Source organism: Homo sapiens, chromosome 6 (assembly GCF_000001405.40).
Source record: "Homo sapiens chromosome 6, GRCh38.p14 Primary Assembly".
NCBI classification, from domain to species: Eukaryota; Metazoa; Chordata; class Mammalia; order Primates; family Hominidae; genus Homo; species Homo sapiens.
In genome coordinates this window covers 167,506,135-167,519,724 of record NC_000006.12, presented here as the reverse complement: position 1 = coordinate 167,519,724, position 13,590 = coordinate 167,506,135, and the positions used below count along the sequence as shown (strand labels likewise).

At 51.0% G+C, this 13,590-nt stretch overlaps 1 long non-coding RNA gene across 2 annotated transcripts, besides 2 other annotated features; it reads right to left on the bottom strand.

Annotated features, from left to right (window-relative positions):
• Window positions 1-469: 469 nt before the first annotated feature.
• Window positions 470-12,474, bottom strand: LOC107986546 (uncharacterized). Of its 2 annotated transcripts, XR_007059880.1 has the most exons (4): window positions 12,303-12,474; window positions 9,984-10,196; window positions 967-1,086; window positions 470-582 (listed from the first exon to the last, which is right to left on the bottom strand). It is a non-coding gene; the product is annotated as an uncharacterized LOC107986546 (long non-coding RNA). The 2 variants fall into 2 exon arrangements; XR_001743898.1 differs by lacking the exons at window positions 470-582; window positions 967-1,086 and adding an exon at window positions 7,585-7,664.
• Window positions 11,663-12,570: an enhancer, noted in NCBI's record as "H3K4me1 hESC enhancer chr6:167919347-167920254 (GRCh37/hg19 assembly coordinates)". NCBI's record gives its function as "activates a minimal SCP1, AML or CMV promoter by ChIP-STARR-seq in primed H9 embryonic stem cells {active_cell/tissue: H9 hESC(primed)}" and the evidence as "EXISTENCE:reporter gene assay evidence [ECO:0000049][PMID:30033119]".
• Window positions 12,571-13,479: an enhancer, noted in NCBI's record as "H3K4me1 hESC enhancer chr6:167918438-167919346 (GRCh37/hg19 assembly coordinates)". NCBI's record gives its function as "activates a minimal SCP1, AML or CMV promoter by ChIP-STARR-seq in primed H9 embryonic stem cells {active_cell/tissue: H9 hESC(primed)}" and the evidence as "EXISTENCE:reporter gene assay evidence [ECO:0000049][PMID:30033119]".

Below are 13,590 nucleotides of genomic sequence, written 5' to 3'. Positions count from 1 at the left end.
ATGTACAATTATTATGTGTCAACTAAAAATAAAAAAAAAAGAAATGGGGGTGTCCCCTGAACAATATTGCACTCTCTGGGTTCTCCTTTCACAGAACTCCCTTTCCTCTGAAGGCTGAGCCTTCCTGGCCACTCCACCCTCTGCTTTGGCTTCAGTAACTGGTTGGGTTGGATCCCCTTTGACAGAACATGGGTGGTGTTGGTAGGTGGATGGGAGACAGAGGAAAGGAAGGTGATTGGGAAGAGGCCCCTGCTGATGACATGTGCATATTGAAACTTTAACTATTTTATAAATAGATGAGTAATACAGTTGGAGCTCCAAACCTGCAGGATCCACAACCAACCTTGGATCCAAAATATTCAGAAAACACAACAATACAACAATAAAAAATAATACAAATAAAAAGACAGCATAGCAACTATTTACACAGCGTTTACATTGTATTGGGTGTTACAAGATCGTCTAGGGATGATGTAAAGTCTGTGGGAGGCTGTGAGCGGATCATCCACACACACAATGTCATCTTGAGCATCTGCAGGTTGTGGTATTTGCTGGGGTCCTGGAACCAATCTCCTGTGCATACTAAGGGATGACTGTATTTTATTTCTCATTTGCTTGTTTATCCACTCATTTATTTATTCAACTAATAAAACATCTACCATGGCCAGATGCTGTGCTGTAAATACTACAAGTAGATGGGGACCCCTGAAAGGATATTGTAAAATGCTTGAGAGGCTAATTGCCAGGGAGTTGATGGCTTTGGACAGGAAGTTAGAAGAAGACGATGAGGGACATGTAGGTGAAAAATACTTGCCTACAAGGAGAAGAGGTTCAAGAATGAGCTGCAGGGACAGTGGGTCTTTCTCAAGCAGCACTGGGCATGGTGTGTGGGCAAGGGAGAGGACTGCAAGGGCCCAGTCATGTCTCTGAGTCTGGCTGTCACCCGCCGGCAGGGGCCAGGCTCACCAGATTCCATGTGAAGCAGCTGGGGACTCTGGGCTGATTGAGGTTGACTCGTGCCAGGGCAAACTCTCATGCTTGGCTTTCAGTTGTGTGATGGATTCCCGGGGCTGCTGCACTGCCGTGCTGTAAACAACAGAAATGCATTCTCTCACAGGTCTGGAGACCAGAAGGCTGAAGTCAAGGGGGGTCAGGGTGGGTTCCTTTTGGGGCCTCCGAGGGAGAACCTGTTCCATGTGTCTCCCGGTTTACGGTGGTGGCATCTACCCTTGGTGCTCCTGGCTTGTGGCCGCACCCCCCCAGTCTCTGCCTTCATCTTCCCGCTGCCTTCACGTGTGTTCATGCTCTTCCTCCCTCTCACAAGGACACCAGGTGCACGGGTCACCCAACTCCAGTGTGACCCTATGTTAACTGACTACATCCGTAACAACACCTTTTGAATAAGGTGAAATCTGGGGGACACCATTCAGCCAGTACCTACATACATGGTTTCACCCAAGCTCAAGAACACACTAGTAAATGGAGGCTCCACTTTCTGAAGATCTGGCTGAGACAGGGATGAGCTGATAAATTACTGGAGAGTGGGAGGGAGTCAGAGAAAGCTCAGGCCAGGGTCCCACGAGAAGAAAAGACTCGCCCTGTCCTCTGGGCTGAGGCTGTGGGAGGAACTAGGTGCAAATGCAGGCTGCCTATTGCTGAGCACTTCTGAGCACCTCACCTCCAAGATGGGCAGCCTGCGTCCCTCTCCCAGCTGACCTTTAGAAGGCACCGTGGGGATCTGTAAGGACATTCAAGCACATCTCAAGAATGCCCAAGACCTTGAATGAGTGATTGTGATAACTAAACAATAACCTCCCTAAGCTACCAACCAAACAGTTCTTCAAAGGATCCTGACCGCCCAGCACATGGAAAACGGAGGCTGGGAGACAGAGGTCCTGTGGCATTGTGCCCAGGTTGGCCAGTCTTCGGTAGCCGTGCAGGATGCGCCTTGACATGAACCTGAACTACCACCGCCATACTGTGCTTTGGGCTTGAGAAGTTCCCCTTGCTTATCACATGTGCTCATGCCAATGCCTCCTTTCCTCTAGAAAGTGATTTTTAGGAAACTCAAAGGTTACTTTGCAGCTGGCTGGGAAGGCTGTCTCCCACCCCGCCTCAGGCTCAGCGTTTGGGATTGGCTTTGTCTGGGCACCACTCTTTTCAGAAATAAACTGCACAATCTTTTGTTTTCTTCCTGTTATTATAACTAATAGCTGTGACCTGAATTTTGTCACCAGCTCAATGGGGTCTGCAGGAAATTGGCATTGTATTCTCCTTGTAACTCAGAGACCCCTCCTTCTGACCTACAGATTAGAAGGTTAATTGAGATTTCTGTGTTCACATTCTAATCTGCTTGTATAATGCATTCTAAATCTTTATCTCTTTTATCTGGGCAGTGCTTAATTACTTTTTTGAAACTAAAGCATGATGGTTCAGGGTGAATTACAGGGCAAGAACGTCCCTGATAAACTCAGGGTGGCAGAGAACAAGGATGATTTATGGAGCGTGGGATTCTGAGGGCAACCCAGTCAAATGTATCTTCAGTTCCAGCCTTGTCACCACTGATTGCTTCAGTTTTTCCCAAAGATTTTATGAACTGATTTCCATTGACTTTAGTTTCAACTTTGTGTATGCCACTTATTAAATCAGAATAGGTGATGGTTTACTTTTAAAAACAAGTTGCTTAGATGAAATGGGTTGTTTTTCAAAAAGTAAACCATCGGCAGGATAAAAGACAGCACAGATGTGCACTGTACAACATATTTAGAGGATAAGTTTTTTCTATCATTTTCATTTTTGCCATCTCTGAGCACTTTTGGCACTGCCTGCTATAGAGCAGGGAAGCACAGTGGTTAGGAATACAGGTGTTGGAATCAGTCACCCCTGGCTCACGTCCCATAACTACATTGGCCAGCTGGTGATCCTGGTCCAGTTAGTTGCTTCCTGAATCTATATGACTTTATCTATAAAAGGTCAGGTTAAAGCTATAAGAGTTTTGTGAAGCCCATATGAAACAGTGTGTGAAAGCACTTGGCACAGTGCCTGACACCCAGGAGGCTTACTTGAATGTGGGGTGCTCCTGATGCCGATGGTGATGGTGATGACTGTGATGGTGGTGGTGATGATGGTGATGATGATGATGGTGGTGATGATGATGGTGATGATAATGATGGTGATGAGGTGATAATGACAGTGATAGTGATGATGATGATGACGATGATGGGCTTTTTTTGTTCCCATTCTGATGATGGTGGTGATCAAGATGCTGATGACGATGATGGTGATGATGTGATAATGACTGTGATAGTGTTGACGAGTGATGACAGTGATGATGGTGATGGTGATGACTGTGATGGTGGTGGTGATGATGGTGATGGTGATGATGGTGGTGATAATGATGGTGATGAGGTGATAATGACAGTGGTAGTGATGATGACGGTGATGATGGTGATGGTGGTGATGATGGTGATGATGGTGATGGTGGTGATGATGGTGATGATGATGGTGATGATAATGATGGTGATGATGATGATGGTGATGAGGTGATGATGATGATGGTGATGAGGTGATAATGACAGTGGTAGTGGTGATGATGGTGATAATGACAGTGATGGTGATGATAGTGATGTTGGTGACAATGACGATGGTGATGATAATAATGATGGTGATAATGATAATGGTAATGGAGATGATGATGACAGTGATGATGGCAATGGTGGTGATGATGGTGATGATGATGATGGTGGTGATAAGGATGGTGATGAGGTGATAATGACAGTGATGGTGATGATAGTGATGGTGGTGCTGACAATGATGATGGTGATGGTGGCAGTGATGATGGTGATGATGATGATGCATTAGCATCTGTACAAGGTCTTGAGTTAGGACAATATGTTGCTATTTTTATTTATAATCTTCTATTAGCATACATTTTTCTTTCTAACTAGTTATTTAAGGAAAGAGACCACCTTTAACAAGTTTGTTTTTATGCTTTCCACTCTATATAGCGTGTATCTTGCATATAATATCTGCCATTTGCTTAAGACTTTGGTGCTCTTGACTATAATCCTCTTTTCCTTGGATCACTTGTTTTTATCAACCCTAATTTGTCAGAATTTCTAAACATAACTCTAAGCTTGGGCCTTTTGGGGGTATTTATACATATTGAGTGGCTCCATGTAGGAGGTAGAAAAAGAGAGTCCCTTCTGAGAGAGTTCAAATGGCCCATATTTGACTCATCATTTTCTGAAGATAACCCCCTCCAGCCAAATGGTGAAAGCTTTTTGACCCCTTCAGTGCCTGGGTCTCCTGGGGCCCTGCAAACGCTGCCTGACTGGGTCTTCTTACTACCGGATGACTGAGGTTCTTTAAAAAGCATTCTATGTTAATGGAGTGTGAAACTGTTCCATCATGAACATCATGGTGGTTACTGGTGGACAGGTGGATCACTCCTCCTTCCTGAGTCCACAGGTACCCCAGGCCATGCAGCTCTTTCCCCTTCTCCCACTCTATGTCCCCCTCTCTGCCATCTTCTCATCAGCACAGAGCCCGAGAGCAGCTCCACTGCTTAGAGGCAGCCGGGCTGCCAGGACATGGTGTTCACATCAGCTACATCTTGGGAAATCTTTTTTTTTCAAGAAAAATGATTTATCAGTACAAGTTGAGTATCCCTTATCCAAAATGCTTGGGACCGGAAGCATTCTGGAGTTTGGATTTTTCTGGACTTTGGAATTTTGCATTATACTTAGCAGCTGAGTATCCCTAATCCGTAAATCTGAAATCAGAAATGCTCCAATGAGCATTTCCTTTGAGCTTCATGTCGGCACTCACAGGTTTCAAATTATGGATTTTTGGATTTGAAATGCTCAACCTGTATATATTGAAGGAAATGTGAAGAGGAGAAAATCAGTATTAGACAGCCTATTTTAATTTTTAAAATGTTCACCTAATTCTAGCTCACCACCCTCACATGGTCTCACGTGGTGGATGACAAACATGATCCATGACCCCAGAGCTTTGCTACCCCTCGACTGACAGGCGGGCTCGCTTCGCCTTGGAGTTTCTTCCATCATAGAATGTAGCAAAAGGATGTCATGTGTGTCTTGGAGCTGGGGTTGCAGAGCTTTGAGCTTTGTTCTTACTCTCTTGGACCCCTGAGTCTTCTGTGCTGTGAAGAAGCCTGAAAAGAAAGGACTTGGGACAGAGGTGCAGCCTTGTCTGCTAGCCCCCAGACCCCCAGTCCCCCAGCCCTGCCAGCTCCCAGCCCTCCAGGCCCCCAGTCCCCCAGCCCTGTCAGCCCCCAGTATCCCAGCTCTGCCAGCCCCCAGCCCCCAGGCCCCCAGTCCCCCAGCCCTGCCAGCTCCCAGCCCTCCAGGCCCCCAGGCCCCCAGCCCTGCCAGCCCCCAGCTCCCCCAGCACCCCCCGTCCCCAAGTCCTGCCAGTCCCCAGGCCTGTCAGCTCCCAGGCCCCTGAGACCCCAGCCCTGCTAGCACCCCAGCCCCACCAGCCCCCCATCTCCGCCAGGCCTCCATTCCCCCAGCCCTGCCAGCTCCCAGCCCCCGAGTCCCCCAGCCCCACCACCCCCCACCCCCCAGTCACACTGAGGAGCCAGGTGAGATAGTGGAAGCTGTCCAGCCAACCAGAGTGGTGGGAAATGATCCACTGTTGCTTCACCGCTGAGCTTTGGGGCGGTTAGTTACGGGGCAATAAATAATTGAAACATGCAAAGCGTTTCCTGCTCCCTGTCTCTGCATACTCTTAATAATTTTATGCGGAATAGCTGAATAACACGCTTTTCTGCTGTTTTACTGAAGTACAATGAAGCACAGCCCTGTCGCGTCCTCTTCTTTCCTTTCCTCTCCCTCCCACCCCTGCTCTTAAAAATAGAAATGGAAGGAATACAGGGAGACATTTTTCAACCTTAGAAGAAAGCATTGTGATACATGTTATTTTGTTTTGCTTATGTATCGCCTCACCACATTGTCCTAGGAAATATTTAAAGAGGCTTACAAAAATACATCAGCTATACTCAGATAAAAGTAAGTAATTGGGGGATCTGGGGCAAAAGATAAATAAGGATAAAGAAATAAGATGATGCAGGAGGCAGTGCTACCATCTTTCAAACCAGAGGGCTATTTTCTGTTGCCTATCCTACTATCTCATGTCCAGCCTCCCCCTCTGATTATGTTCAAAGACGCTGTTCAGCCGGGCACCGTCGTCCGCTGCCCCCAGGTCCTGGCAGAGTGATTCACCCCAACAACCCCAGTGCTGTCTCACCCATCTCAACACACACACTTTTCTCACATTCCACTAGCTCCAAAATTGGGATATGTCTTATAGTTGATGGAGTGTCTTTTCATTTCCAGCATTTTCTTTCCTTAACAGCACCCAAATAATGGTGTGTTATGTAAATGACGGCTGCCAAGATTCAATGCAGTGCTGTCGTTGCTAACATCTATACATCAGGCATCGTGCCAAGTGTTCTGACTGATTTAGTCCTCGTCATGAATCTACATAGCAGGTTTCATGACTCCCCCTATTTTACAAACGATGAAACCCCAGGCTGGGAGAGTAAGAGGAACTTCTCTGCTGGGTCACCAAGTGAGGAAGTGTCAGAGCTGAGGTTTGAACTTAGGACATCTGTCGTCAAACCTCAGGCCATCAACAGTTGTTTTGATAAAAATGACTGCATCCTGAGCGATTGCTGTGGCCAGGGCCTGTCCTGTCTCACCAGAGCCAAGCGTGGGCTCAGTGGTGCGGAGATAAATACAGTGCAGTAGCATTTGGAAGTGATGCGATACTTTGCCAGCATTGTGAAGCTAGATCATGCCCTGTGGAGCAGCAGAATTTACCAAATCAGAATTTGATGTTAGGCAATTATGACGTGCATGGGCTCTTTATAAAGTAAGAAAGGAGGCCCTGTGTAATGAGGAGAAGCTGCCTCTCTGCACCATCTTTCCCCACTCAAAACTGTGGCCTAGGCCCACCCCATGTGCCAGCTGGGACAGTCAGATTTCAGGGGGCACAAACCATAAGGACGGAGGAAGGCCAGGAGTCATGTTTATTCAGGACTCACTGTTGTCGTGGTAGCCTTTGCATTGCCTAATTTTGTGTTCCATCTTAGGATAGGCAGAAAGACCTTAGGTTCGCTGGTGGATAAGTGCCTGGACATCTGAACTCAAACTTCTAACGTGCCATTTGCTAGCATGCCCTTTCAATGGGGCACTCAGCCCCTGTGCCCAGGTCTTCCTGTCTGTGAACAGGAATGTGATGGCACCTACTACAAGGCCACGGTGAGGACTCAATGAGTAAATGCACCCCACCCCCTCAAACGGTGCCTGGCACGTAGGGAAGTGACTTGGTGTGAGTTATTACTGCACAAATTGGAATTGTGATTCCTGCCAGTTCTCAAACTTGGACCTACATGTGTGCTCTGGCCTAGACAAGCTTCCCTGAAATCTTCCCATTTCATTTCTTTTCAGTTATTGGGCCAGCTGTCTCTCCCACCCACTCTCCCTGCCTCCCAACAATGACCCACCAGTGCCATGTGGGTGATTCTGCATGTTGCTGGTCGCATTGGATTGTGTGGATTAATATACATCTGTGTAAATTTCTCAGATCCCAGCCAGTCATCAAACTCTTTAACTCCCAAAGGATGGTTTAGTCTGAAAGGGAAGAGGAGGCTCTTTTTTGTTGTTGTTACTCCGGACGGGTGGGAAGGAACAGCAGCACAGCCAGACGTGAGAATACGGCTGCTGTGAACAAAAGTGACAACAGCTCTGTACAAGCCATGTTTTTTTGCAATGTGTCACATCTTTGAATAATGACTGTATTAGTTCTCACACTGCTATAAAGAAATACCTGGCCAGGCATGGTGGCTCACGCCTTTAATCCCAGCACTTTGGGATTTAGATAAAGTACTAATACATGTAATGACATAAAAAGAGAAACCTCAAAAAATGGTACTAAATGAAAGAAGCCAGACCACATGACGTATGGTTCCATTCACATGCAACCGCTGAAAAGGGCACCACTCCAGAAATGACAGATCAGCAGTTGCCAAGGACGGGGATTCCCTAGGAATGGCATGAGGGGTCTTTACTGGAGGGATCAAAAGGTGCTAAAATCAATGGATGCTGGTAGTTGCACAACTTGGTAAATTGTTTGAAAAATAATTGAATTGGGGGCTGGGCGTGGTGGATCACACCTGTAATCCCAGCACTTTGGGAGGCTGAGGCAGGCAGATCCCCTGAGGTCAAGAGTTCAAGACCAGCCTGGCCAACATGGTGAAACCCCGTCTCTACTAAAAATACAAAAAAATTAGCCAGGCGTGGTGGCAGGTGCCGGTAATCCCAGCTACAGGGGGAGCTACAGGAGGCAGGAGGATCACTTGTACCTGGGAGGCGGAGGTTGCAGTGAGCCAAGACTGCGCCATTGCACGCCAGCCTGGGCAACAAGAGCGAAACTCCATCTCAAAAACAAAAACAAACGAACAAAATAAATAATAATTGAATTGGGCGAATTATATGATATGCAAAACATGCCTCCATACAATTAATTTTTTTAAATCTATACCAAAATGTATTGTAGTACACGTTGTTATACTGATTGTATTTTCCCCACCAAAAAAGTGTAGCATGTCATCTGATAATTTCTTTATTTGTGAATATATTATGTGATATATAATTAATCATTAAAAATAGGCATTAAAAAAAGGCTTTCATGCCCAGTAAGCACACGGTAACACCAGGAAGCGTGAGTGTTTCCCTGGGGATTAGCGAGCCTCCAGCTGTTAAACTCCCTGGGCCACGCTCAGCTGTGGCTTATCCCGTGGCCGCACTGCCGCCGCTCCATTGCTGCTGCTGTTTGACCCGCTAGGAATCATAAATGCAGATGCTCTCACCTTCCCAGGACCTCCTTTGCCAGGAACTACAGCGCCAAGGAGGGGAGGGGCCCTGGTGGGAAGCAGGACCTCCTGTGGAGGATGCCTCTGCTAGGAGGACAAAGTGCTGCCTGGGAGGGAACCTTTGTTAGTGAGCGCTTTCCCTTCCCTGCAGTATTTTGCTTCAAGTGATTCTATCATGTTACAAACCAAAGGCTTACCAAAAGAGACACAGATGCACTTTTGCTACAATTAGTGTAGTGTTAAAGAAATAAAGGGCACTTTGGGAGGCCGAGGTGGGCAGATCACGAGGTCAGGAGATCGAGACCATCCTGGCTAACACGGTGAAACCCCATCTCTATTAAAAATACAAAAAATTAGCCAGACGTGGTGGTGGGCGCCTGTAGTCCCAGCTACTCAGGAGGCTGAGGCAGGAGAATGGCGTGAACCCGGGAGGCGGAGCTTGCAGTGAGCCGAGATCGCGCCACCGCACTCCAGCCTGGGTGACAGAGTGAGACTCCGTCTCAAAAGAAAAAGAAAAAGAAATAAAGAGATCGTTTGGGGCTGGTTAAATCAAAAGCATTCTCAATTTCATGGGGGACTGAGCGAGGAGGAAAACCAGGGACTTGGAACCTGCTCGCACCTCATTTCGTAAAATTCCAATCACAGGCCCCTTAGACAGCCATTCTACCTTTGCTAAACATCAGACCACAGAAAGCGTGGGGCGTCTTTGCCAGGCTCATGTTGGGGGCCCTGTGTCCCTGTGAGATGGGGTGGACGTTGTGCGTGTCCAAGTCTCTTGCACCCAACCTCTTTCTTCAAAGGCCTTTTCATTTGGTGGCTCTCCTGCGTACTCAGGGGTCTTCCAGCTCGCAAAACAATGTGTGTGTGTTGGGGGCCTGGGCTCAGGAAAGAGGGGGCATGCAGCGTCTCCCTCCTGACTTCTTCTGTGGCTGCCAAGGGTGTGTTGCTGCTGTGACCCACGGCAGGGCACCTGCAGGCCACTGTCCGCAACCCAGCACCTGAGTCCTGCTGGCTGCGCCTCTGCCAGGCCTGACCCAGTGGTGAGAACTGGGCCAGGCTGCGCCTCCCCGCACCTCACTTGGGACCTGAGAAGAGGCATGGAGCCGAGCGCACCGTTCCCCAGAAATGTTCCCGGAGACAGACGTGCTCGGAGGCTCTCTTCCCAATCCAGCACCAGAACCCCCATCTGCAGCTTCCTCTCCACAGAGCAGCCCTTCTCCTCTCCGCGTGGAACTGACAGTCACCTCCAAGCAGGGGACAGCTCCACACTGTACAGGACGTCTGGTCACACCTGTGGACAGAAAAGCCCCACACGTCTCTGAACATGAATGGAGTCGCTGCATCAGTGGGTTCCCATGATAGACGTGGGGTGGCAGCTGGACGTGTGTGCGCATGTGTGTGAGTGTGAGTGCGTGTGCAGGCGGCGGGATGTGTCTGCAGAGTGCTGTGATGGGTGAGTGCCTGGCTGTGGGTGAGTTGGTGGGTGTGTGAGTGCCTGTGGCTGTGGGAGAGTTGGTGTGTGTGTGAGCACCTGACTGTGGGATAGTCGATGAGCGAGTAGGTGGGAGTGCGTGAGTGTGTGAAGGAGGTGAGGGGGAGGGAGGTGACAGGAAGGAGAGGTGATGGGGGAGGTGAGGTGACAGGGAGGAGAGGCAATGGAGAGGGAGGTGACAGGGGGATGGAGGTGACAGGGAGGAGAGGTGATGGGGAAGAGAGGCGACGGGTGGGGGAGGAGAGGCGACGAGAAGGTAGGTGATGTGACGGGGAGGAGAGGTGACAGGGTAAAAGAGGTGATAGGAAGGAGAGAGGATGAGGAGGAGAGTTGACAGGGGAAGGGAGAGGATGGGGAGGAGATGGGATGGGAAGGGAGGGGACAGAGAGGAGAGGTGACAGGGGAAGGGAGGGGATGTGGAGGAGATGGGATGGGAAGGGAGGGGACGGAGAGGAGAGGTGATGGGGAAGGGAGGGGACAGGAAGGAGACGGGATGGGGAGGAGAGAGTATGGGGAGGAGAGGTGACAGGGAGAAGAGAAGATGGGGAGGAGAGGGGATGGGGAGGAAAGGAGGGACAGGGAGGAGAGGGGATGGGGAGGAGAGGGGACAGGGGAAGGAAGGGAACAGGGAGGAGAGGGGACGGGGAAGGGAGGGGACAGGGAGGAGAAGGGACAGGGGAAGGGAGGGGACAGGGCAGGAGAGGGGACAGGGGAAGGGAAGGGGCGAGGAGGAGAGGGAATGGGGAGGAGAAGGGATGGGGAGGAGAGCTGACAGGGGAAGGGAGGAGATGGGAAGGAGAGGGGACAGGGAAAGGGAGGGGACAGGGGAGGAGAGGGGACGGGGAGGAGAGGGGATGGGAAGAGGAGGTGACAGGGGAAGAGGGGACAGGGAGGAGAGGGGATGAGGAAGAGAGGGGATGGGGAGGAGAGCTGACAGGGGAAGGGAGGGAACAGGGAGGAGAGGGGACAGGGAAGGGAGGGGACAGGGAGGAGAAGGGACAGGGGAAGGGAGGGGACAGGGCAGGAGAGGGGACAGGGGAAGGGAGGGGAAGGGGAGGAGAGGGGACAGGAAGGAGAGGGGATGGGGAGGAGAGGGGATGGGAGGAGGGGGATGGGGAGGAGGGGGATGGGGAGGAGAGGGGACAGGAGGAGAGGGGACGGGAAAAGGGAGGGGACGGGGAAGAGACGGGAGAGGGAGGAGAGGTGGCAGGGGAAGGGAGGGGTGGGGAGAAGAGGGGACAGGGGAAGGGAGGGGATGGGGAGGGGAGGGGACAGGGAGGAGAGGGGAAGGGGACGGGGAGGGGATGGGGAGGAGAGGGGATCGGGAGAAGAGCTGACAGGGGAAGGGAGGGGATGGGAAGGAGAGGGGACAGGGAAAGGGAGGGGACAGGGCAGGAGAGGGGACGGGGGAAGGGAGGGGAAGGGGAGGAGAGGGGATGGGGAGGAGAGGTGATAGAGGAAGGGAGGGGTGGGTAGAAGAGGGAACAGGGGAAGGGAGGGAATGGGGAGGGAAGGGGACGGAGAGGGGAGGTTGGGGCTCCACACGCTTGGTCATTCATCTCGTCAGGGTTTCTTTGGTTTGGTGTGGCTCCCTGGCAGCTGTTGTTTCTTTGGGATGCTAAGAGGAGGGGAGACCGCTTTCTTCAGATGTGTGCATTCCGCTATGTTGAGGAAGCTGGCTTCTCAGAGGACGCAGGTGCAACTCCAGGATCACCGGAGGCCGAGTGTAAGGCCTGGCCCTTGGTGACATGGCTCCAGTGCTTCCTGGCAGAGGCCCCACCCTCCACAGCCCAAGGAGAAGGCTCAGTCCTAAAGTGACCACCAACTCGGGGTGGGATCTGATGTCACGGGGGTGCAGGGGGGTCAGACAGAGGACGGCCTAAGGAACCAAGCATAGTCACGCACCTTTCACGCTGTTGCCTCCAACTTTGAGATTGGGCCGGATCTGACAAGAAATGCTTTCAACTCCATGGGACCAAGTCCTTGGATCAAAAGCAAAGGACGCAGACTTATATGTGTTTACGCAGAGTAATTCACTTTGAGGAAGCACCTTTGTTTACCCTTCATTTAAAGAGTGCAGGACCACCCCATCCGCCTCTGGCCCAGGACCATGCTAGGGACCACAGCTCACATCCTGCAGGTGTGGGGCGTGGAGAGCAACTCCGGGAGGCTCTGCGGGACCCTGGCGGCCAGTTACATGCCCACCAAGAGAGATGGCCACACTGAGAACCAAAGGGGCTGTTTTTCTCCCAGGCTGATGAAACCTCTGCTTCAGTTCCTGACTGGAGAGAGGGGAGCCGTTATCTCATGAACAAGGGCTTCCTTTCTCTGTTGGAGAGGAGTTTACGAGGAGAGAGGGGCGGAGGTCTCAAGGAAATCGTGTGTGACACACAAATGCGGAATGACGGGCTCCACAAGCAGTTCAGGGGGACCTGGGAGAAGCCTGGGTCCCTGTGTCCCCAGAAGCCGCAGCCCCTCCCCAGCCAGCCCAATGTGTAGGCAGAAGCTGGGACCGGCCAATCCAAAGTCCACCGGGGGCGAGTTCCTTTCCTCTTGTTTAGAGAGTTGGTTTCCCTGTGATTCCTGGAGGTGCCCTGCTGAACTCAAGCAGGCAGGTGCCATGCACGTAAGCAGGGTTCTTTATGCCATGCGGGGCTGCTCAAATCTCGAGAGTCTTAAGATGAAAGGGAAAATAATGAAAACATGGAAACTCGTGGTCCGGAGGGAACACAGGCCCGCCGTGTTCCCACACTCGAGGTCAGCGGGTGTGCCCTCACACTGGAGTGCCCCTGCATGCCTAGAGGCCCAGTGCTCTCCTCCAGCAGCCCATCTCAGGTTTTGTGTCCTAACCAGGCTGGGTCACCAGGCACAGCAGCCCGCCTGTTCTAGAGCTTTCTGAAGATCCATTGCTGTCTCGCGCTCTCATAAATGCAAAGCTGTGCTTGCCCCAACCATATCTCCCCCATAACCAACCATATTTCCCCCATAACCAACCATATCTCCCCCATAACCAACCACATCTCCCCCATAACCAACCATATCTCCCCCATAACCAACCCGGGAGATGGAGCAGCAATCGGGATGGTCCCACGTGGTCTGTGCCATGGTGACAGCAGGTGCCCAGAAAGGAGACTCAGGATGGAGTCTCCCCAGGCAGCTCCCAGGCCGAGCAGGAGCCTCCGGACCCGGCAGG